Below are 24,831 nucleotides of genomic sequence, written 5' to 3'. Positions count from 1 at the left end.
TTTGGGATGCCGAGGCAGGTGGATCACCTGAGGTCAGGAGTTCGAGACCAGCCTGGCCAACATGGTGAAACCCCGTCTCTATTAAAAATACAAAAATTAGCCGGGCGTGGTGTTGTGCCGCTGGAATACCAGCTACTCGGGAGGCTGAGGTGGGAGAATTGCTTGAACCTGGGAGGTGGAGGCTGTAGTGAGCTGAGATCGCGCCACTGCACTCCAGCCTGGGTGACAGAGCGAGACGCCGTCTCAAAAAAAAATACAGCAATATCGTGCCTTGGGATTTAGCTATTTCCAGAGGAAAAATGGTTGTGTGCAGCCTGCTTTTAGAAGCAGCGTTGGTAGTGGTGATTTCCGGAGAGAACAAGCCCCCAGTTTACATTGTCTTGTCACTTAAATTTAATCCCAAAATCGTGTAGTTTTGTTGTCAAAGATTGATAGATTCTCGTGGATGGGTTTTTTCTTTTTTTTTGGTCTGAATCTTATGTTGAATTGGATTATTTTTTACATCACTAGTGTGAGTGATAACATGTTGATCTCAGTGTAATAAACTGCCTTTATGGAGAAAATAGTGAGTGGAGTTGTTCTCCACAATTCGCAATAGGTTTATAATTCTCTTTCTCAGTTCTGCTCATGACCTGCGCTACCAGTTATGGAGGAGGCCTAATCAAAGTTGTTGATAGAGACTTGAGCATTTTCTGTTGCCTAAAATTATTTAAGAAGTTCATACTAAAACATTAGTTTATTTCCTCATTGGCTTTAAGAATAGTTGCGTGGCTCAGGAAGATACAGTCTTCTGAAGATTTTATCTTGATTCTTACACTTGATGAATAATTTGGTGGTGTGCACACTTAAAAATTCTATTCCTTCCTTCTTTCTTTCGCTTTATTTCTTTCTCTTTCTCTCTCTCTCTCTCTTTTTCTTTTCTTCTTTTTTTTTTTTGACAGGGTCTTGCTGTATTGCCCAGGCTGCTGAAGGCTGGAGTGCAGTGCTGTAGTCATAGCTCATTGCAGCCTGGAACTCCTGGGCTTAAGTGATCCAACTGCCTTGGCCTGCTAAAGTGCTGGGGTTACAGGTGTAACCCACCTTGCCCAGTCTCTCTTTTCTTTTTCTTTTCTTTTCTTTCTTTCTTTTTTTTTTTGAGATGGAGTCTCCCTCTGTTGCCAGGCTGGAGTGCTGTAGAACAGTCTTGGCTCACTGCAACCTCTGCCTCCTGAGTTCAAGTGATTCTCTTGCCTCAGCCTCCCGAGCAGCTGGGACTATAGGCGCATGCCACCACGCCCAGCTAATTTTTGTATTTTTGGTAGAAATGGGGTTTCGCCATGTTGGCCAGGATGGTCTTGATCTCTTGACCTCATGATCCGCCTGCCTCGGCCTCCCAAAGTGCTGGGATTGCAGGCGTGAGCCACTGCGCCTGACTTCTCGTTTCAGTTTTAAGGAACGTTTGTATTCATGAGACTTCCATTGTAGGGAAGAGTTGGGGAAAATAAGTAAAAATAATTTTTTTTTTTTTGAGACGGAGTCTCGCTCAGTCGCCCAGGCTGGAGTGTGGTGGCGCGATCTCAGCTCACTGCAAGCTTGCAAGCTCCGCCTCCCAGGTGCATGCCATTCTCCTACCTCAGCCTCCCGAGTAGCTGGGACTAAAGATGCCTGCCACCATGCCTGGCTAATTTTTTTGTATTTTTAGTAGAGACGGGGTTTCACCATGTTAGCCAGGATGGTCTCGATCTCCTGACCTCGTGATCCGCCCGTCTCGGCCTCCCAAAGTGCTGGGATTACAGGCGTGAGCCACCGTGCCCAGCCAAATTTTTTTTTTTTTTTTTTTTTTTTTGAGGTGGAGTCTCACTTTGTCGCCCAGGCTGGAGTGCAGTGGTGCAGTCTCGGCTGACTGCAACCTCCGCCTCCAGGGTTCAAGCAATTCTCCTACCTCAGCCTCCCAAGTAGCTGGGATTACAGGTGTGTACCACCATGCCCAGCTAATTTTTGTATTTTTAGTAGAGAAGGGTTTTCACCATGTTGGCTGAGCTGGTCTCAAACTCCTGACCTCAGGTGATCCACCCGCCTCAGCCTCCCACAGTGCTGGGATTACAGAAGTGAGCCACGGTGCCTGGCCACACTTTCTTTTTCATTGTATTTATCATGATTATATGTAGTTAGCAATCTGCAACGTTTATGTTTTCACATCCATTGATTTCTGTTTCTTTCTTTCTTTTTTTTTTTTGAGACGGAGTTTTGCTCTTGTTGCCCAGGCTGGAGTGCAATGGCGCAATCTTGGCTCACTGCCACTTCCGCCTCCCGGGTTCAAGAGATTCTCCTGCCTCAGCCTCCCGAGTAGCTGGGATTCCAGACATGCACTACCACGCCTGGCTAATTTTGTATTTTTAGTAGAGACGGGGTTTCCCCATGTTGCCCAGGCTGGTCACGAACTCCCGACCTCAGTGATCCACCAGCCTTGGCCTCCCAAAGTGCTGGGATTACAGGTGTAAGCCACCACGCCCGGCCTGATATATTTTCTAAATGGACGTTTAGGGAAGTTAAGTGATTAGTAACTCTTTGAATCAAATCTTGGTCTTTTAGTGTCTAGGCTTAGTAGTGTTGTGGAATGAAACATTTGGTTTGAATTTGTTTTGTGATTCTTCCCCTTAGATAAGTGACAGTGAGTAAGTTCCCCAATCACCCTGAGTCTAGCCTTCTGTGTAAAATCAGAATATATTGTTGTTTTCACAGGATTGGGGCATAAGTGAGGATAATATATGTCAAGTGGCAAGACTTGCTGTATAGCAGGTACTCAGTAGGTTTTAGTTTCCTTCTTCCTCTAATCCTGTGGTCCTTTCTCACCACTATACTGTCTCTAGTCCATCTGTTTTATGTTTTTACCAAGAATTGGGGTAAATGTCAAGGTCAGAGTTTCTTAACTGGCACTGTCGGCATTTTTGGCTGAGTAATACTTTGTTGTGGTGGCTGTTCTGTGCAGCATCCGTGATCTGATCTCTAACACTGGATGCCAGTAGGCCCCTCCCCTGCAATTGTGACATTAAAAAAGTCTCTGTCCATTGCCAGATGTTCCCTAGGGTGCAAAATCATCCCAGTTGAGAACCACTGCTCTAGCAGGTGGTGCCCAGGATTGTGTTCAGGGTAGAGAAGTGGATTCTGGCTGTAATCCTCAAGTGAGTGAATCCTTCTACAGGCCATTGTCACTCTGTTGTTGAGCTGAATGAGTCGTACTGGTTCTTGCCAGTACCAGCAGTATCACTCCATTTAGTCCTTTTAGAAGAAATAGTACTTCATAGGCTTTACTGACTTTTTAGGGGACTGAATGTGGTAGTAATTGATTTTAATTCTTGTTTACTTTTAACAGTATTGATACATCTGAGAATGGTTAGATTCAGTTTGAATGAAATAAATAGAAATATGCTATAAGAAAAACAGAAAAATGTTGAAATGTGTCAGAGGCTGGAGACCAATGAAGGAAAAAAATGAAGAATTAGTGAGTTTATTTAGCATTCAGGTAAAACTTAGAGCCAAATTGCTAGCATGGCCATAAAAGTAGTGTGATATAGGACCCAAGAAGATAAATTCAAGAAAAAGGAAAGACTAGCTCTTTAGAGGATCTCTTGAAAGTAAAAAGATTAAATTATGTATAACGTCCTAAAATGAGCAGTATGGTTAAGAAGTATTTCTGTGATGACAGGAGGATAGATTGCTTAGAATCAAGAGAGTTTATGATTCTTGTTTGGTGGCTTATTTAACATTTTATTTTCTCCAGTGTTTATGCAGTTGTAGTAATAATAAGACTTTGTTGTTTGGGAAAGTTTATTAGGTACAAGTTGATGAAGTTTTAACTTTCACACGCTTAATTAAGGGGTTAAAGACACGCAGGCTCTTTGTATACTCATAAGTATACCTGACTAGCAATTAGAGCACATTTTGGTATACAGGGTCTTTAGAAGGTAGTAACTGATGCAGTTTAGGTTATAGTCTAGATCTTCACATGGTTAAAAAGCATTTGCTTTTCTGGCATGCCACAAAGAATTATTAATAGCAGTAGTTTTAGAGATTAGAATCATGTGTGGTCTCACAGTCTTTCAGGACTTAAATACCCGTCTGACAACAATCATTTATTTTAACTTTTGGTTTCAAAATTTTTGATGTACCTTTAGTTTAGATGTATAAAGAATCGTTTAAAAATTATGGCCATATGTTGATTTAAAATAATCTTAAGGTTGGTAGAAGGTTTTCCTGAAAGGAACAATGAATGCCTGTGTGCATACTAATAAAGGGATCCCTTGAGAATGGTTTCTTGGTATAGGGAACATTCAGGCTTTGTTTGGGTTTTGAAAAGAGGATACGATCAGTCAAGCTTCTCAGCAAGGTTCATGCTAATTTGGAGGGGAAGATCGTCTTGGCATAAAATCCTATTTGATTTTAAAGAGAGAATATTTGTGGAAAAGGTTGAAATAGTGAAAAAATATGTTTTTTTTGTTTTTGTTTTTTTGAGATGGAGTCTCGCTCTGTTGCTCAGGCTGGAGGCAGTGGCGTGATCTCGGCTCACTGCAGCCTCCGCTTCCTGGGTTCAAGCGATTCTCCTGCCTCAGCCTCCTGAGTAGCTGGGACTACAGGCGCCCGCCACCATGCTCGGCTAATTTTTGTATTTTTAGTAGACACGGGTTTCACCATGTTGTCCAGAATGGTCTACATCTCCTGACCTTGTGATCCACCCACCTCAGCCTCCCAAAGTGCTGGGATTACAGGCGTGAGCCACCGCACCCAGCAAAAAAATGTTTAAAAACATTTTTTTTGGTCTGCTCTTTCTGTATTTCTTGTGTTCCCATCCTGATCATTAAAGGAAAGGAATATATGAAGTATATGTGTAGGTTTCCAGAGTAGGTAGTGGGGGTGAATGGTAGAATTAGAGATTGGTGAAATGCCTTATCAGTTACAGTAATAGATAAAAATTGTTCTCTTTGAATAATAAGTTCAAATATGTCAGGTTAATTCAATCTAACAAATATGCTTTGAGTTCCTACTATGTACAAGTAGTGTTCTAGTTTTACATGGGTGATGTAAGGGCAAATAGTTCTAGTCATTAAAGAAGAGAAAATAAAACAGAAACACAGTGGTGAATTTACCATGAATCTAATGCAGCTTAAACTTCAAGTCCCTTCATTTACACAGGCCCCTTCTAAGTGAGTGGGAGGAGCCTTAACAGTAAGTTTAGATGTTCATTTGCAAAATTAAGATTTTAGCTGTAATTGGATAAGATTGCTATCACTTTTTTTTTTTTTTTTTTTGAGACAGGGTCTCGCTTTGTCACCCAGGCTGTAGTGCAGTGGTTTGATCGGCTCACTGCAGCTTTGACCTCCCAGATTCAAGCAATCCTCCCACCTCAGCCTCCCGAGTAGCTGGGACTACAGGCATGTGTCACCATGCCTGGGTAATTTTTTTTTTTTTTTTTTCCTGAGATGGAGTCTTGCTCTGTCACCAGGCTGGAGTGCAGCGGCGTGATCTTGGCTTACTGCAACCTCTGCCTCCCGGGTTCAAGCGATTCTCCTGCCTCAGCCTCCCGAGTAGCTGGGACTACAGGCACGTGCCATCACGCCCAGCTAATTTTTTGTATTTTTAGTAGAGACGGGGTTTCACCATATTAGCCAGGATGGTCTCGAACTCCTGACCTCATGATCCACCCACCTCGGCCTCCCAAAGTGCTGGGATTATAGATGTGAGCCACCACTACCACCTGGCCCATGCCTGGGTAATTTTTATATCGTTTTTTAGAGACAGAGATTTTGCCATGTTGCCTAGTTTTGTTTGGAACTTCTGGGCTCAAGTGATTTGCCCACGTTGGCCTACCAAAGTGCTGGAATTGCAGGCATGAGCCACCATGCCTGGCCTGCTGTCACTTTTATTTATTTGTTTATTTATTTTTTTTGAGACAGAGTCTTAGTCTGTTGCCCAGGCTGGAGTGCAGTGGCACGAGCTCGGGTCACTGCAACCTTCGCCTCCCAGGTTCAAGCAATTCTCGCACCTCAGCCTCCCAAATAGCTGGGATTACATGCACATGCCGCTGCGCCTGGCTAATTTTTGTATTTTTAGTAGAGACAGGGTTTTTCCATATTGATCATGCTGGTCTCAAACTCTGGGCCTCAAGTATCTGCCTGCCTTGGTCTCCCAAAGTGCTGGGATTACAGGCGTGAGCCACCAAGCCTGACCTACTGTCACTTTTGGTTCCAATTTACCATGCAATATATTTCTACGTGTGTTGGGTTATAAGAGAGGGGTCACAAGAGTTTTGGGGAGAAATTTTGGAATAATGTATTTGTGGTTTTGTATCTGTGTTTCTACTTTTGCAGAGGGAAACAGTAGAAAGAATTTAGTCATCTACAGATATTAGTCCTCAAGTAAGTTAGGACTCTTAGGAAACCATTGGCCTCACTAAGAGTTTTGACTAAACTTTAGAAGAAAAAAATCATTGAGCTACCAAGGACTATATGTTGATAAGAGATGATGAGTTGCACTCTGCTTGTTATATATGGAAGGTCAGATTCACTCTCCTGTATCATTGGTCCTATAAAATAACAGCAGTTCTCATCCTGCTTTCATAACAGTGTCATTAGAGCTGTATGTATTTCCCTTTTACTTCTTGTTGGCTAAGTAGAAAAAAGGAAAATAACTTCTTTCAGATATTTGTTTAAAACTATGAAGGAAATATTGAGTTACCAAATGTAGTGGGAATTTTTAGTCAAAAAAATTTTTTTTTAAGAGACAGGGTCTTTCTCTCTTGCTCAGGCTGGAGTGCAGTAGTATGATCATAGCTCGCTGCAGCCCCCGGCTCCTGGATTCAAGCAGTCTTCCTACCTCAGCCTCCCATGTAGCTGGGACCACAGGTGTGTGCTGCCACTTCTGGCTAATTTTTTATTTTTATTTTTTAGTGGAGAAAAATGTTGCCCAGACTGCTCTTGAACTCCTGACCTCAAATGATCCACCTGCCTCAGTCTCACAAAGTGCTGAAATTGCAGGTGCGAGCCACTGTGCCTGACCAAACTTTTTATTTTGGGATAATTTTAGATTTACAGAAAAGTTGAAAAGAGAATGCAGATAATTCTTATTTGCCCCTCACCCAGTTCCCCTAAATGTTAACATTTTATATTCTTGTGGTATATTTGTCAAAACTGAAAAAACAACATTGATGCATTGCTATTAACTAAACTCCAGACTTCATTTGGGTTTCCCCAGTTTTTCTATTAATGTCCTTTTTCTTTTTTTTTTTTTTTTTTTTTGAGACGGAGTTTCGCTCTTCTTGTCCAGGCTGGAGTGCAATGGCGCGATCTTGGCTCACCATAACCTCTACCTCCTGGGTTCAAGGGATTCTCCTGCCTCAGCCTCCCGAGTAGCTGGGATTTACAGGCACCTGCCACCACACCTGGGTAATTTTGTATTTTTAGTAGAGACGGAGTTTCTCCATGTTGGTCAGGCTGGTCTCAAACTCCTGACCTCAGGTGATCTGTCCGCCTCGGCCTCCCAAAGTGCTGGGATTACAGGCGTGAGCCACTGTGCTTGGCCTTAGTGTCCTTTTTCTATTGCAGAAATCCCATTCGAGATACCATATTGCATTTAGTCATCATATCTCCTTAGTTTCTTCTGGTCTGTGACAGTTTATCATGATCTTGACAGTCTTGGCAAGTACTGGTCAGCTATTTTGTAAAATGTCCCTCCATTTGGACTTGCCTGGTATTTTTATGGCTAGACTGGGTTATAGTTTTGGGGGAAGAATACCAGCGAGGTGAAGGGCTCCCCCTGATCACATCATGTTGGGGCACATGATAACCATGTGACATCACTGGCTACGATAACCTGGACACTTGATTAAGACAGTGTTGTCAGGTTTCTCCACTAAAAAGTTACTATTTTTACCTTTTTTTAATATGTTGTTCTTTAGAAAGGAGTCATTAATTCCAGCCTGCGTTCAAGGATAGGGCCAGGTAATTAAACCACCTCCTGGAGACGTGAATATCTTCTTAGAGTTATTTTGAATTCTGTGAAGAAGATTTGTGCCTTCTCCTCCATTTACTTATATATTCAATCATTTGTTTATATCAGTCTGGATTGACATGTATTTTGTACTTTGGTTGTTTTGTTGCTCAGATTGTTCCCGCTGTGGCCATTGATTGCTCCTTAGGCTTGGCTCCTGGGTTCCTTTGATATGCAGCCCTCCTTCTGTCTGGTGGAGCACGTCCTTGCTTTCTGGCACTGCAAGATGTTTCAAGGATCATCTTATATATTTCCTGCCCCAGCCCTAGAGTCACCCATATTTCCAGGGAGCTCTTGTTTCTTTTATTGGAGAATGGTGTTTAGAAACCATGATCTTAGCACTGGGTATGCTTGTTGCTTATTGTTTTGTTTTTATTTATTTTTTAAAGTTGTAGTTTTGCTCTGTTGCCCAGGCAGGAGTGCAGTGATGTGATCATAGCTCTCTGTAACTTTGAACTTCTGGGTACAGGTGATCCTTCCACCTCAGCCTCCTGAGTAGCTGGGACTATAAATGCACACCACCACTCCTGGCTAATTTTTTTGTTATTTTTTTGTAGAGACAGGGTCTCTCACTATATTGCCCAGGCTGGTCTTGAACCCCATTCAAGTGATCTTCCTGCCTCAGCTTCCCACAGTGGTGGGATTACAGGTGTGATCCACTGCACCTGGCCTGTTTTTAATATAGAAGAAGAAATGTTAAAGAGTTTATTTTTGATGTTCAAACTCTAGATGGATATTTGGGTTTCAAATATCGACTTACTGGATAGTATGAATAATGCCACTGTGAACATTACTGCACGTGTCTTTTGGTGAACAAATGTAGCATTTTTGTTGAATATGTTTCTAAAAGTGCAATTGCTAATTCATGATGTATGGTCAGCATAAGTAGATATTGCCAGAAATTTTCCAAAGTGATTGTATCTCACAAACTTTTAAAATTAAAACTGATATGAGACATTAGTATAAATTTAAAAAGGATTCGATTAGGTATATGGAGGGTTTATATTCCTAATAATACCAAACTGCTGGCTTCTGAAAACTGTGACTCTTAGGTCTTTTTATACTAATTGTGCTAATGCTTTTTTTTTTTTTTTTGAGTCAGAGTTTTGCTCTTGTTGCCCAGGCTGGAGGGCAATCCTGCGATCTTGGCTAACTGCAGCCTCCACCTTCTGGGTTCAAGTGATTCTCCTGCCTCAGCCTCCATGGTAGCTGAGATTACAGGCATGCACCACCACGCCTGGCTAATTTTGTATTTTTAGCAGAGACAGAGTTTCACTATGTTGATCAGGCTGGTCTCAAACTCCAGATTTCAAGTGATCCACACGCCTCCGTCTCCCAAAGTGCTGGGATTACAGGTGTGAACCACTGCGCCGGGCCTAATACATTTTTTTAAATTAAGTCTGTGGTCTTTTTCTGTCATATTTCCCATTTTCTCTCCCATCCCTTAATTTAATTAGAAGTTAAGTTCCTACCTAATATACTCCTTTAATATCTTGTATTTCGGAGAGATAAAAATATAAATAGAGATAATTGGAGGGTAGTGCTAGAATGTCACTAACAATCCCTATAGGTTGCCTGGTCCCAGGGTTTGGTCATGTCTTCCTGGATTTTTAGTGAAAATACCATGTTAGCGATATTCCCATTACCTGATTTCATGTATTCATTTCACCAATATTTGAGTGCCTTCTAAGTGCACTGTGCCAGATGTTGACGATACAAAGAGGGATAAACTGCACTCATACCTTCAAGAAGCTCATAGATGGAGAAACTAACACAGTACAGTGCAATAATTTTAAAATAATAAAGATGTTTAGAAAACTATGAGAGCCCAGAGAAGAGAGTGGCTGACCCTGCCTGGTGACAGTAGGCGAGTGTTACAGAGGAGATCTGGTTTCTGGAGGTCTCCAGGATGGGGCTGTAGCCTAAAAGGAAGACTATGTGAGGCAGCAGCAGCAGCAGCAAGTGGAAAGGCTTGGAGATGTGGAGGACGTTATATGGTACTCAGAGAGCAGCAGTACATGGATGGCAAGTGTGGCGTTGTGCTGCCACCCACTTCCCCATGCCAAAAGCATATAACTGCTAATCAGTTACCGCATTTTTTGCTGCCGAATTCGTAAGCAGCCCCAAGAGTTCTCAACAGGATGCTTCAGGTGGCCACTACTAATTATTTGGAGTTGGCACGTGAGGTTAAACCTGTTTGTCTTCTTTGTAGTGGGTGTTCCCTGTGCCTGGAGCGGAGGATGTGTGTGGGAGTCGGAGTCAGAAGGGCTGGAAAGGCACGTTGGCTGGGATCAGATGATGAAGGACTTTGTGCCAGCCACATGGTCGAGTGTGTATTTATAGTCTGTACAGGCAGTGGAGAGCTATGGAAGGGTTTTAAGCAGGAAAATGATGTAAGCAGATTACTCTTTTTAGAAAGATAAATGTAGGGGCTTTGTAGATGTATTGAATTGGGTAAAATGGAGGGCATAGACACCAGTAGGCATTTTATATATCTTTAGATCTTTGTAGCCTTTAAGTTGCTAAACCAGTTAGGAGTGTTATGGCTGTTCAAACAGGAGATGATGGAGGTCTGAATTAGGGCAGTAGGAATGGAGAGAAAGAATCAGATTGAGAGTGATTTAGGAAATAGGACATGGTATAGCTCTTCCACTTTTTATGTGTGGGTGAGAAAGAGGAAGGATTGTTCAAAGGCTCTGACTTCTTGCCTGGGTGCTTGGGTGACAGGGTAGGCAGGAGGGGCAGGTTAGGGTGGGAAGATAGATGATGGTTTATACTTGTTGGAAATTAAATTGGCCTGGAAAATATTTTTTCCTGTGGAGTCATGTTGATTCCCACCAAGCTCCTTTGCTGCCTTCCAGATAGTTGCAAATCAGCTGTTGAATGTCACACCATAACATGGAGAGAACTAAGAGCTGGCTACAGAAGATGCAGTTTCAATTCTTTTGGCTCTGATGCTTACTATTGAATAGTTATGACCTCAGGCAAGCCATTTAACTATTTCTGATGCTGATACTGTCTTATTTTTTTTTTTCTTTTATTCTTTTGTATGTGTGTGTGGAGACCAGGTTTTGCCAGGTTCCCCAGGCTGGTCTTGAACTCCTGGGCTCAAGACATCTACCTGCCTTGGCCTCCCAAAGTACTGGGGTTACATGTACATGTGTGAGCCATGGTGCCCGGCCGCTCTCTTTCTTTATTTGTAAAATGGAAGTAATATTTGTCCAGCCCTTCTTGTGAAATTGTTATGAGACTCAAATGAAGAAATATATGTGGGGGCATTTTGTTACCTTGTATGTACTGCACAAATACATTTTTACTGAGCCATTGCTATCCTTTGTAAAAAGATGAATACTTCCAAATTATTTGAGTCAAGATTGATAAAGAAGTTCTAAAACAATATTAAATATATGTTTGGAAGTCTATAAAATGATTCTTGAGGTTGAAAAAATTTGAAATGTGGGTGTCCATGTGATTAGACCTTTGTTGCCTTAGGTGCTCCACCAGGTTTTTAGAATGGACTATGGAGGGTTACTTGCAGATTATCAGGGAAAGGTAATTAGTGCTTGACCACCGTTTATATTTTTTATGGATTTCCATATATTTTATATTATCTTGAATTTGTTTTTTTCCTTCTTTTGCCACTTTCTGACTTGTTTGATACTCATTTATTGATCATTTAATTTAGCTTCTTTCAATCCTTTGGGGAGTATAGGAGGGCTTATTTATGTAAATAATAAAACAATGTAACTATAACTTTCCCTATAAACTCTTGGAACACATTTCATCTGAGACCTATAAGATAAGCCATAGTTTAGATGAAATATTTGAACTGTTGTATTGCCTGATGTGTATAAACTTAAATGTTTTTGATGGGAAATTGTTAAGTTCCTTAAATTAATGATAGTTGCCCCCTAACCCTGACCTTTTTTTTTTTTTTTTTTGAGATGGAGTTTCCCTCTGTCACCTAGGCTGGAGTGCAGTGGCTCGATCTCAACTCACTGCAACCTCCGCCTCCTGTGTTCAAGCGATTCTCCCTCCTCAGCCTCCCAAGTAGCTGAGACTACAGGCATGTGCCATCATGCCCAGCTAATTTTTTTTTTTTTTTTTTGGTTGAGACAGGGTTTCACCATGTTGGCCAGGCTGGTCTCAAACTCCTGACCTCAAATGATTCGCGCCCCCACCCCCAGCCTTCCAAAGTGCTGGGATTATAGATGTGAGTCACAGTGCTCAGCTTGACTTTCTTCTTTAATTAATGATCTTTTCATTATATTTATATTTAAAGAATAGTACTGTATTCATAAGTATAATAAAAATGTGTAACTTACAAAACTCATTACAAAAATATTTCTTGACTATATATAGTATATGTAGTAAAGGTTAAATAGCTAAAAATGTTTATAGTAAAGGTTAAATAGCTAAAAATGGCAAAGTGTAGTCTATGTCAAGCCTATGTTGTTTTTATAGTTTTTAAATCAGATCTCCCAAATCTTGACAGAGGGAAAGTAACACATTTGGGTAAGTGGATATGGCTGGTAGAGTTGTGATATAACTAAAGGGAATTAGGGCTTGGAAGATAGAAGTTCCTGGGATGCTTCTCTGCAGGGCTCTTGTTGGCTAGGTTGTCTCATACTCAGATGCCACAGAGGGGCAGGAGATTCTAAAGAGAATGGACACAGATGTGTGTATGAAATGCATGAAAACCAGAACTCTTCAATTGATAGGGAATAGTAGAACATTTGGGATTGTCACCTGCTAGAACTCTGTTTATGATTTGGCTTGGGGAGGTTCCCCTCCAAGTTCTCATTCCTAAAATCTAGTGATATGTCTATGTATTTTTGAGCTTGTGAAGTTTAAGCAATGTTTGAATTGCTGTTACTAGGGAAAAGTTTAATCCAAATCAACCCAGTTTACAAAGAGTACTTTGACTTTCATTGTCCTTGTCTTCTAACACAGGAGTGTCAGAAATGTGGCTCCAGGCTATAAACATTTTTAGCTATTTATGTATAAACATTTAAAAATGTTTATACTATAAACATTTTTAGCTATTTATCCTTTACTACATATACTATACATAGTCAAGAAATATCTTTTTGTAATGAGTTTTGTAAGTTACACATTTTTATTATACTTATGAATACAGTACTATTCTTTAAATACAAATATTATGTCTTCTATTCCTATGGCAGCATTTCTTCTTCTTTTTTAAAATTTTACTTTAAGTTCCAGGATACATGTGCAGAATGTGCAGGTTTGTTACATAGGTATACATGTGCCATGCTGGTTTGCTGCACCTGTCAACCCGTGATCTAGGTTTTAAGCCCCACAGGCATTACATATTTGTCCTAATGCTCTTCCTCCCCTTTCCCCTGCCATCCCTGACAGGCCCTGGTGTGTGTTGTTTCCCTCCCTGTGTCCATGTGTTCTCATTGTTCAACTCCCACTTATGAGTGAGACCATTTCTAAATAGTCCTGGGCACCTCCTATCCTGTACTTGCCATCAGAATACTTCTGAAGATGACATTCTAGACAGCCACTGTTACTCAGAATTGGCACTAGAGATGAAACTTATTTGCTCTGCAAGCTTCCAGTGTTGCCAGATTACATAAAATAGATAAAAGATAATATCCAAATTTTGTGGCGGGTTTTAATCACTGATACTAGGTCCAAGGGGAGACTCTAGTCCCTGGGAAGGTGACTGGTAATAACAATCCAAGGCTGTCATTTTTTTTGAAAGGTAAGGGATTTAGTTACAAATCTAGGAAGCAAAGTGTAGTCTATGTCAAAAATAAAGTGGGAGCTTCCATTTCTGAATTAGGATAGAAGTCACATTTATGGCAAAGGTGATTGAAGGCTGAAAGTCCTAGAGCCTGGCTTGGGGCAGAGTCTGTGGGTGGGGGTCAGATAATCTCAAGGAAGAAGATGCAAGTTCTGGAGAGTGCCTGTCACACAAACGTATTGTTGGTGAATGAACAGATGAATGCTTTTTCCATGAGAGATATTTAAAATTAGAGGTCATGTCCCTGACTGTTTTTTGTATCAAATCCATAACATTCACGCTGAGGCGGGCGGATCACAAGGTCAGGAGATTGAGACCATCCTGGCTAACATGGTGAAATCCCATTTCTACTGAAAATACAAAAATTAGCTGGGCGTGGTGGTGCGTGCCTGTAGTCCCAGCTACTCAGGAGGCTGAGGCAGGAGAATTGCTTGAACCTGGGAGGCGGAGGCTGTAGTGAGCCAAGATCATGCACTGCACTCCAGCCTGGGCGACAGAGCAAGACTCCATCTCAAAAAAAAAAAAAAAAAAGCATAACATTCTTTTTTCCCTTAAAATGCAACTTGGCAAAGATGATTTTGTTGGGGGAAATTGGTTTAAGCTAATAAATACGTAGTTTCACTGTCCTAACTTTTGAAGTTCTGTTCATTGATTCCAAGTCCTCAGTGGCCACTGCACTTTAGAAATTCATGTATGAGGCTGGGTGTGGTGGCTCACGCCTGTAATCCCAGCACTTTGGGAGGCTGAGGTGGGCGGATCATGAGGTCAAGAGATCAAGACCATCCTGGCCAACATGGTGAAACCCCGTCTCTACTAAAAATACAAACATTAGCTGGGCATGGTAGTGTGTGCCTGTAGTCCCAGCTACTTGGGAGGCTGAGGCAGGAGAATCGCTTGAACCCTGGAGACGGAGGTTGTAGTAAGCCAAGATCGTGCCACTGCACTCTAGACTGGCGACAGAGCGAGACTCCATCTCAAAAAAAAAAAAAGAAAAAAAGAAATTCGGGTATGATTAGGCTGTAGAAATTTTTTTATTGCTAAATTTCAGCCTGTTAACTACAAAACTATGGGTTTTTTTTCCTAGTAATAATACAAAAATTGTCCCAGAAGCATATTTAATAAACTCCTTTCTTATAAAAGTATTATAGTTCTTAAACTAATGGTTGTTGTTGATCAGTTTTGGTCAAATGTTTGAGAATATTATTCTTGAAAACATGGAGCATGTTCAGGATGTTGTTTGTCAATCCATTAACAAATCCTGTTCTACTTCCAAATTATTTCATGAACCCTCTCCTTTTCACCCTCATTACTGCCATCTCCCTGCCTGGCCGCCCGCGTGTAGTGCTGCAGTACAATGATAGTAGCCTCCTCGCTGGCCTTGAGCTTTCCATCTGGCTGTCTCCACTACGTTCTTCACATTATAGCAAGACTGACCTGGAAACTACCTGGACGCAGCTGACCCTCTTGCCTGGTATCCTTCAATAGCTTCCCATTTTCCTTAAAGTCAAATCTGAACTCATCATACTATCCTTACAAGCCTGTGTGATCTGCCCCCTGCCTGTCTAAACACAGTTTATGTTACTCATCCACCAAACACTTCCCAGGCCTGTCACACGCCACCTCCTGCTTCCGGAACAGATTCTTCTTCCCGCCCTGCAGTTGGTTCTACCCAGCTTCAAGGTCTCTGTTTAAATATCATCTTTTGGAGGAATCTTACCTGACCACCCCAGATGGGGTCATTTCTGTTACTTTCTCTCCCTTTTGGATCCATTTATCACGAGTTCTGTTTTGTTTGATTACTTTTTTGGGGCTGTGTTCAATAAAATGTAAGCCTTATGAGGCAAGAACTGTGTCTAGCTTGTTTACTACGACAGTGTGTCATCAGTGCTTATGAGTAGTACTTAGTAGGTGGTGAATAAATATTTACTGAACAAATGAAGGTGGCAGAGGTATGCTGGCAGGAGAGCAGGGTGTATTCATTGGTATCTCAGTTTTAGCATGAAAAAGAACATAATTTCACATGGTTAGAGGGACTGAAACATTGTCTAGAATTTGGTCACATAGTAAAAAGCTGGAGAATAATTCTGAGAACCATTTATCTTAAAAGTTCCAGAAATTCTGTTTTTTTGGTAGGTATAGTTTGCCTTTTGCTTATTCAGCTAGTTTGAATCATATTGATAATGTGACTGCATGATAAGTCAGCCATATGCTGAGGTTTCTACTTTAAAGATAAGTAGCTACCTTAATTTGAAAGTATTATTTGCATTCTCTGAGCAGACCCATGGTGAAATGATCTGATTATCAATATTTAAGATTTATAATGTCTGCTGAAGATGACAGTGTTGCCTTAGTTATGAATTCTTTATGACAGACATTTTATATCAGGACTAGTTTGTTTCGTAAAGCCATTCTGTGTCAGTTTATAGGAAGGCATAGGCTTTTCTGTTTCCTGGGACATAAGGGGACTCGTCTAATAAATTTTTTTTTTTTTTTTAAAGACAATGTCTGGCTCTGTTGCCCAGGCTGGAGTGCAGTGGTACCATCTCAGCTCATTGCCTGCCTCCTGGGCTTAAGCCATTCTCCCACCTCAGCCTTTCTTTTTTTTATTTTTATTTATTTATTTATTTATTTTGAGATGGAGTCTCATTCTTGCGCCCAGGCTGGAAGTGCAGTGGCGTGATCTCTGCTCACTGCAACCTCCGCCTCCTGGGTTCAAGCAATTCTCTGCCTCAGTCTCCCGTGTAGCTGGGATTATAGGCATCTGCCACCATGCACAGCTAATTTTTGTATTTTTAGTAGAGATGGGGTTACACCATCTTGGCTAGGCTGGCCTTGAACTCCTGACCTCGTGATCCACCTGCCTTGGCCTCCCAAAGTGCTCGGATGGCAGGTATGAGCCACTGCGCCTGGCCGCATTCCTCAATTCAACAACAGCTTCTTCAATTGGAAACTACCAGTATAGCATCAAGGGATTTACACTTGACAAGTTCTGAGTCTTTCTTCAAAGGTTGGCCACTTCTGTTTTACTGCACCAGACCTAAGGAATGAATCCCTCTAAAACTTACAAATCCTGTGACTTCACCCAGAATTTTTTTTTTTGAGATGGAGTGGCGCTGTCTCGCCCAGGGTGGAGTGCAATGCCTGAACCCAGGAGGCAGAACTTGCAGTGAGCCAAGATCATGCCACTGCACTCCAGCCTGGGCGACAGAGCGAGACTCCGTCTCAAAAAAAAAATTTTTTTTGAGGAATGCATTTCCCCATTCCTCAGAAACAGTAGAAATGGTAGTTAGCCTGGACAGTACCCCTGCAGTTCCCCTCAATCCCAACAGCCACTGAAAGTGGGAATGGAGATATATTAGTCCATTCTTGCATTGCTATAAAGAACTACCTGAGACTGGGTAATTTATAAAGAAAAGAGGTTTAATTGGATCACTGTTCTGCAGGCTGTACAGGAAGCATGGCTGGGGAGGCCTCAGAAAACTTACAGTCATCGCAAAAGGTGAAGGGGAAGCCAGCACGTCCTGGATGGCTGGAGCAGGAGGAAGAAAGAGGGAAGGAGGAGGTGCTACAGACTGAAACAACCAGATCTCATGATAACTCGCTATCACAGGACAGCACTAGGGGGATGGATGGTGCTACACCATTAGAAACCATCCTCATGATCTAATCACTTCCCACCAGGCCCCACCTCTAACATTGAGAATTATAATTGAACAGGAGATTTGGGTGGGGGCATAGAACCAAACCATATCAAGAGGATTAGAATAAGAAAACCACACCAACATACATGAGGAGGAATCAGGAGCCTTAGAGTGTGCTCTTCACTCTGTCACCAACTCTGTGTCATTATGTGCAACTCATTTGACTCCTTGAGCTCTCAGATTACTCATCTGTTTTTAATTAATTAATTAATGGTTTCTGAGGCAAGGCCTTGTTCTGTCACCTGTTCTGGAGTGCTGTGGCACTATCACAGCTCACTGCAGACTGGACCTCCTGGGCTCAAGTGATCCTCCTTCCTCAGCTTCCTGAGTAGCTGGGACTACAGGCTTGTGCCAACATGCGTGGCTAATTTTTTATTTTTGATAGAAACTGGGTCTCGCTATGTTACCTAGGCTGGTTTCAAACTCCTGAGCTCAAACAATCCTCCCACCTCAGCCTCCCAAAGTGCTGGGATTACAGGCGCAAGACACCACACCCAGCCAAATTACTCATGTATAAAATGAATGGATTGAGCAAGATCATTTCCAAGATCCCTTTAAGCTCTGATGTCATGTGATTGGGATTTTTGGATTCCTAGATTAGCTTTTGAGCAGGAATTTGGATGGCAGACCTGTGTAGTTGGTCAAATACTTTGTACTTACAGCCTTTTCATATTACCGTGAGTTACTCACCAATTCAAATTGAATGACCAAGAGCTGTTGAATTCTCACAAAAATTTTTAGTACTTTTACAGCATTTTCAGTTTTATAATGCAGGTCATTGAAAAAAATCTTATTTTATAGACTCTTATGCCCTTTTGGCACTCCTCTATCATTGTTTTTAAGCACTTCATTGTTTTCTGGTACAAAAAGATGTTCCTGACTTACCTTGTAATTTCCCTGTCCCAGCCCTGAAATCAGCCAATTTCCCAAGGAATCCTGATTCTGTTGAAGGGGAATGGGCTTGGCGTGCCCCATGGGCTTCTCCCACTTTTGATGAGCAGAGCTAGGAAATGTTTTGAAGTTGTGTAATATCTCTAGTTACAGTTTGCCACCACAGGGCTCCTTTTCTTCTCACGTTAGGTTTGTGTATTCCTTCTCCCATAGTGTAAGTCATGACTCCCAGCAATATCAGTGTATTTACTCATGTGCTCATTGCTGCAATACATTAAAATAGTTTCAGAATTTTATACTACCAACAAGAAACGTACTACAAAAACTTATAGATTTCTTTGTAATTCTCTTTATCTTCAGAATATATCCTACTGAAGATGTAAACTCACATACTCTTTTTTTTTTTTTTTTTTGAGACAGAGTCTCACTCTGTCACCCAGGCTGGAGTGCACCGGCGCAATCTCGGCTCACTGCAAGCTCTGCCTCCCGGGTTCACGCCATTCTCCTGCCTCAGCCTCCCGAGTAGCTGGGACTACAGGCACTTGCCACCACACCCGGCTAATGTTTTGTATTTTTAATAGAGATGAGGTTTCACCATGTTAGCCAGGATAGTCTCAATCTCCTGACCTCATGATCTGTCTGCCTCGGTCTCCCAAAGTGCTGGGATTACAGGCGTGAGCCACTGCACTTGGCCAACTCATATACTCTTAAAGAGGCTACTCTCTGTTACAGTTTGCCTGAGTGCTCCTCTCTTCCTCCCTCTCTCTCTTCCCCCCATGCAGAGTAGGCTCTCAGTAACTGTTTGCCGAAAGGCAGTCTGTACCCTTCCTTGAGCTGTTTCTGTCCAGTAGTACTTTGCCGAGTAAAATTAATTACCAATTTTATGGGAGTTAAGTATTCTTAACTACCAAAAGCATTAATGGTCTGAACAAACAATCATATGTATAAATAAATAAAATGTATGTTATAAATCACTGTTGAATGTAGAGTTTTATGTAACAATAAATAAATATATAAGTAAAATAACAGTCTTATACTTATCAAACCCTATTATATAAACCCTTAGCTAGTAAGCTCATTTTATATATATGTTCATGTAGTCTTTATTGCTCATATATAATTTTTAATTTAATTCATAGAACCTAAGGCCCCTTATTTTCTGGTCTCAGTTTCAGCCAGTGTTTCTCATTAGGATCATTAAGAGATGAGGAGTTGTGGTTGTCTTCTTTTATTTTTTCATTTTTGTTTTTTTTTCAACCAACTCATTTCAAATAAGAAATTGTGGTTTCAATTTTATTTTTTATTTTAAGAATTGGGAGCATACAAAAGCTATTATTTGTGATTTTTCTTTTGTGATGTCATAATACAGTCTGAGGCATAGAAATTCTAGTTAAGTACTAAAAAAATAACAAGGCTGTTAGAATAACCACTGTGGGCTAGGTGTGAGGGTAAATCCTGGGGAGAGGAAGAAGTGGGAGGATAGTATTGGGTGAAGGGAAAGGTATAGAGCTAAATGCATATTTGAATTTAGGTCAGTGAAATCTAAGTGTAGTCTGGGGAAATTAAATTTTCTAGTACTGACTGGGCATGGTGGCTCACGCCTGTAATCCCAGCACTTTGGGAGGCCGAGGCAGGCAGATCACTTGAGGTCAGGAGTTCGAGACCAGCCTGGCCAACATGGCAAAACCCCATCTCTACTAAAAATACAAAAATTAGCTGGGCATGGTGGTGGGTGCCTGTAGTCCCAGCTACTCACTCAGGAGGCCAAGGTGGGAGAATTACTTGGACCCGGGAGTGGGTGGTTGCAGTGAGCCAAAATCACACCACTGCACTCCAGCTTGGGTGACAGAGTGAGACTGCTTCTCAAAAAAAAAAACAAAAAAAACCAAAAAAACCCAATTTTCTAGTACGCAGTATAATTAATTGTATAATTGTGTTATTCGTTCTTTTTGTTAAAACTATTTAATAAGTGATTCTTTAAAATAGCTGTTTTTGTTTAAGAAGTATGTTTTTGTCAGCGACATTGACAGAAATGTATTAATTGTTCATGTTCTTTGGTATTATGTATCAGTGATGGAGAAAAATACTAATGTTGGTGCAGCCAAATATTGTTCAGTTCTAATTATTCTTTAAGTGAGCCTCTGTTGGAAAAATTACTCAATTAATTATATGGTTTTGCCTAATCATATATTAAAGAAAAACAGTCAGCATATATTAAAGAAAGTATGAATTTAAACATTATTCCTTTCATTGAAATGATCACTGTATCTTTAAACTGGAAATATATTTGCAGTCTTTTAAGATTTCCTAAGGTATACTTAAAATAAAATACCTTTAAAGTATTTTAAGGTGTTTCTTAAAAGAAAGCAAGACTTTCAAATGTTTTTGTTTGATTGATTTATATATCTGTATTAAATATGTACATATGTTTTAGATCTTATTACAGTTAAGCATTTTTTTCTCACCTTTTTTCTTTGTTATTTTTTAATGGGCCTATTTAAACTTAAATCTCTAAGTAGGACCTTCAGGGATATTTGGTCATTCTAGCATCTTTCATTTGCATAGATATTCTCATAGACATAATAAAGCCATAGCCAGAGAAGCTCAAATATTTTTATCAATGATTTAAAAAAGCTGAAATCTTTTTAAAGTAATCCTTTTCATTTTTATTACAGGTAAATTGGGATATTCACAATGTATGGAAACAGAGGTAAGTGAAATACTCAAATATTTCTTAGTAAAGCAGCTTTGCAGTCCTGTTTAGACTAACTTGAGTACTGAACTATCTCACTATAGGTTCTTGGTCTTCTGATAAGATTTCTTTTTTTTTTTTTTTGAGATGGACTTTTGCTCTTGTCGCCCAGGCTGGAGTACAATGGCACGATCTTGGCTCACTGCAACCTCTGCCTCTTGAGTTCAAGCGATTCTCCCGCCTCAGCCTTCTGACTGGCTGGGATTATAGGCACCCACCACCACGCTCAGCTAATTTTTGTATTTTTAGTAGAGACGGGGTTTCACCATGTTGGCCAGGCTGGTCTTGAACTCCTTACCTCAGGTGATCCACCCGCCTTGGCCTTTCAAAGTGCTGGGATTATAGGCATGAGTCACCGCACCTGGCCCTGATAAGATGTTTTGAGAGCAGGTGTGTTTTCTAGGTTTAGGAAGAGTAAAATGTGAAGAAAAATTACTTGCCTTGTCCATATTTTTGTAACGTCAGGTTGTGTTATAAAGAATAGCTTAATTATCATTTTAAAATTTAACCGTATTATTATTTGCAGAATTGAGTTAGCTAAGATCCAGAGCTCTTAGTAATTTCAGTTTTTTTTTCATAATTCAGTGCAGTATGTCATATAATAAATACAGCATTTAAATGTGTTAGACTCCATTGGAGCTGCCTTAATTTAAGAAAAAATAGGGACTTAGAAACAATGTTTTAGTAAGATTAATAATAAATTTGGTGCTTTGTTATTTATACAAGTAGGTTTATTATTATTATTATTTTTTTTTTTTTTTATTTTTATTTTTAGACGGAGTCTCGCTCTGTCGCCCAGGCTGGAGGGCAGTGGCACGATCTCAGCTCACTGCAAGCTCCGCCTCCCGGGTTCACGCCATTCTCCTGCCCCAGCCTCCCAGGTAGCTGGGACTACAGGCGCCCGCCACCGCGCCCAGCTAATTTTTTGTATTTTTAGTAGAGACAGGGTTTCACCGTGTTAGCCAGGATGGTCTCGATCTCCTGACCTCGTGATCCGCCCGCCTCGGCCTCCCAAAGTGCTGGGATTACAGGCATGAGCCACTGTGCCTGGCCTGGTTTATTATTTTTTAATAATTTAATTTCAAATTTCTGATTGTGAAATTTAAGGGGTTTCTATGTGTTCATTGCAGGGATTTCAAGCATAATACTGAAATACCAGGTCAGCATATATGTGTGGTGTTCTTTTCAGTAGCAGTTTCATCATCCTTAGATTGGGGGTGTTGGGTGTTTTGTTAGTGGCAATGCCCAAATAAAGGATTTAAGAAGTTGTATTTCAAATTTTATAATGCATCTACATATTGTTGTAGGTTTTAGTAAGTTTTAACTGTTGTTTTAAATGAAATGTAGGCTTCCCAAGGGATTATATTGTATAATAGAGAAACAAAAATAATTTATCCCTTTTGGCATTAATTTTTGTATTTTCTTTCTTTTTTTTTTTTCTTTTGAGACAGAGCCTTGCTGTGTCTCCCAGGCTGGAGTGCAGTGGCACAATCTTGGCTCACTGCAACCTCCACCTCCCAGGTTCAAGTGATTCTCCTGCCTCAGCTTCCCGAGTCGCTGGGACTACAGGCACATGCCACCATGCTGGCTAGTTTTTGTATTTTTAGTGAAGACGGGGTTTTACCATGTTGGCCAGGCTGGTCTCAAACTCCCGGTCTCAGGTGATCCACCATTACAGGCGTGAGCCACTGTGCCCGGCCCATTTTTGCATTTTCTATTCAACTTTGAAAGGAGGGACAATTTTTTCCAAGTTAGATCTAAAAAGGCAAGAACTTAATATTTTTATATTGTTAGAATTTTTGATATACTATTCAACATGACACAAAGGGGTGGGATTTGATTTGAGTCAGAAGAGGTAAGTTTTGTGGTTTCTGGGTGTGTATTTTTCTAGCTATGCAATTTTGAGTAAGTAATTTTTCTTCCAGAACTTTGTCTTTCTTATCTATAAAATGTTAATGGTAATTTGTATTAACCTCATAGCTTATGAAATTTTTAAAGAGATACTATATATTAAAATGTTTCATAAACCTTAAATGCACTATTGTGAATTAAGATGATACAAATATAGTCAGCATTCATCTGCATTTAGGTAATGAAATATGAAGATTTTACATACAAGGCACAGTTATCTAATTATCGTTTTATTATATTGTCATAAAATCCACATGATCTTAACATTAGTTTAGTACTCACTTTGTAAAGAAGCATTAGTTCATTTTATCTCCTAATTGACAGCCCTTATAATTTGATCCATAACATAGGTCACCAAAAGAATTGGAATCTAACTAAATAGAAGTTTTTCAGAATTAAAAAAAAAGTAAAAATTTGGAGGGGGCAAAACACAAGGAAACAAAAATTTCAATCTGATATTGATTTAATTCAGAAAAATAGGTATTTTCTAGGGCTAACAGTGGTTATCAGTGGGGAGGAGATTGGGATTGTGGATGGTCATTTATCCATATTGTTTGATTTAAAAAAAAGTATCTGTGTATTACTTTGGTAATTAAGATAGCAAAAAGCAGGAGTGGTGAGGCGGTAGAGCCAGAGGGAACTACTTTTTCTTAGAAGTTTGGTGAAATGACAGAAGGAATTAAAAAACAGCATAAGGAGGAAGTTTTCTGTTGCGTTTTAGGTTAGAGACGATGGGCCATTTGGTGGTGGTGGTGTGAGGGAGCCTGGAGTGCGTGAGCCAGGTTCAAGAGTGGTTATCTAATGAAGCAGACCCAGGAACACATGGGAGACGATGGTTGTCTGGAGTAGTGCTGCTCAGAACCAAGACTGGTCCAGGGCTCTGTGGTCTCTGAGACCCTCTCAGGGGATCTGCAAGGTCAAAACTATTTTCATAGTACTACTAGGATATCATTTGCCTTTATACTTTCATTCTCTTAAGAGCGTACCATGGAGTTTTTGGAGGCATGAGGAAGACTGTCAGAATGACTGCAGAAGCAGATGAGATCCAGCCTTTTTTTTTTTTGGAGACAGAGTCTTGCTCTGTCACCCAGGCTGGAGTGCAGTGCCATGATAACGGCTCACTGTAGCCTCAACTTCCTAGGTTCAAGTCATCCTCCCACCTCAGCCCTCTGAGTAGCTGGGACTACAGGTGCATGTCACCACACCTGGACAGTTTTTTATTTTTTATTTTATGTGTATTTTTTGAGACAGAGTCTCACTCTGTCACCCAGACTGGAGTGCAGAGGTGCGATCTTGGCTCACTACAACCTCTGCCTCCTGGGTTCAAGCGATTCTACTACCTCAGCCTCCCAAGTAGCTGGGACTACAGGCGTGCGCCATGATGCCCGGCTAATTTTTGTATTTTTAGTAGAGACAGGGTTTTGCCAGGCTGGTTGTGAACTCCTGACCTCGTGATCCTCCCGCCTCACCCTCCCAAAGTGTTGGGATTACAGGCGTAAGCCACTGTGCCTGGCCTGTTTTTTTATTTTTATGTTTTTTTTTTTTTTTTTTTTTTTTTTTGTAGAGATGGGGTTTTGCTATGTTGCCCAGGCTGGTCTCCAACTCCTGAGCTCAAGCAGTCCTCATGCCTCGGCCTCCCAAAGTGTTGGGATTATAAATGTGAGGCACCTTGCCCAGCCTCTGTGGCTTTCATTGAGCCTGACATTAAAAGGTTTTGTAAAATGTAAAACAATTCCACTGTTCTCATTTTTTTAATGTAGTTTTTTTTTCCTCCATAA

The 24,831-nt window shown here is 40.8% G+C and overlaps 1 protein-coding gene across 14 annotated transcripts in view, besides 2 other annotated features; it reads left to right on the top strand.

Annotated features, from left to right (window-relative positions):
• The window catches only part of SPIRE1 (spire type actin nucleation factor 1), a 215,580-nt gene that overhangs the window by 5,930 nt on the left and 184,819 nt on the right, over positions 1-24,831 (top strand). For 9 of the 14 annotated variants that reach the window (NM_001394323.1, NM_020148.3, XM_005258122.5 and 6 more), the window contains exon 2: positions 21,066-21,100. In NM_001394323.1, coding sequence (NP_001381252.1) covers positions 21,066-21,100 — 35 coding nt within the window. Of the gene's footprint in view, positions 1-3,136; positions 3,162-19,809; positions 19,922-20,138; positions 20,160-20,461; positions 20,524-21,065; positions 21,101-24,831 lie in introns of those variants that run through there. The other 5 variants (XM_047437674.1, XM_011525702.2, NR_197429.1 and 2 more) reach the window with 5 other exon arrangements.
• Positions 4,010-4,593: an enhancer, noted in NCBI's record as "NANOG hESC enhancer chr18:12651568-12652151 (GRCh37/hg19 assembly coordinates)". NCBI's record gives its function as "activates a minimal SCP1, AML or CMV promoter by ChIP-STARR-seq in primed H9 embryonic stem cells {active_cell/tissue: H9 hESC(primed)}" and the evidence as "EXISTENCE:reporter gene assay evidence [ECO:0000049][PMID:30033119]".
• Positions 7,771-8,595: an enhancer, noted in NCBI's record as "OCT4-NANOG hESC enhancer chr18:12647566-12648390 (GRCh37/hg19 assembly coordinates)". NCBI's record gives its function as "activates a minimal SCP1, AML or CMV promoter by ChIP-STARR-seq in primed H9 embryonic stem cells {active_cell/tissue: H9 hESC(primed)}" and the evidence as "EXISTENCE:reporter gene assay evidence [ECO:0000049][PMID:30033119]".

This window comes from Homo sapiens, chromosome 18 (assembly GCF_000001405.40).
Source record: "Homo sapiens chromosome 18, GRCh38.p14 Primary Assembly".
NCBI lineage: Eukaryota > Metazoa > Chordata > Mammalia > Primates > Hominidae > Homo > Homo sapiens.
Note: the sequence above shows the minus strand (reverse complement) of the source record. Positions and strands in the feature narration are given on the sequence as shown.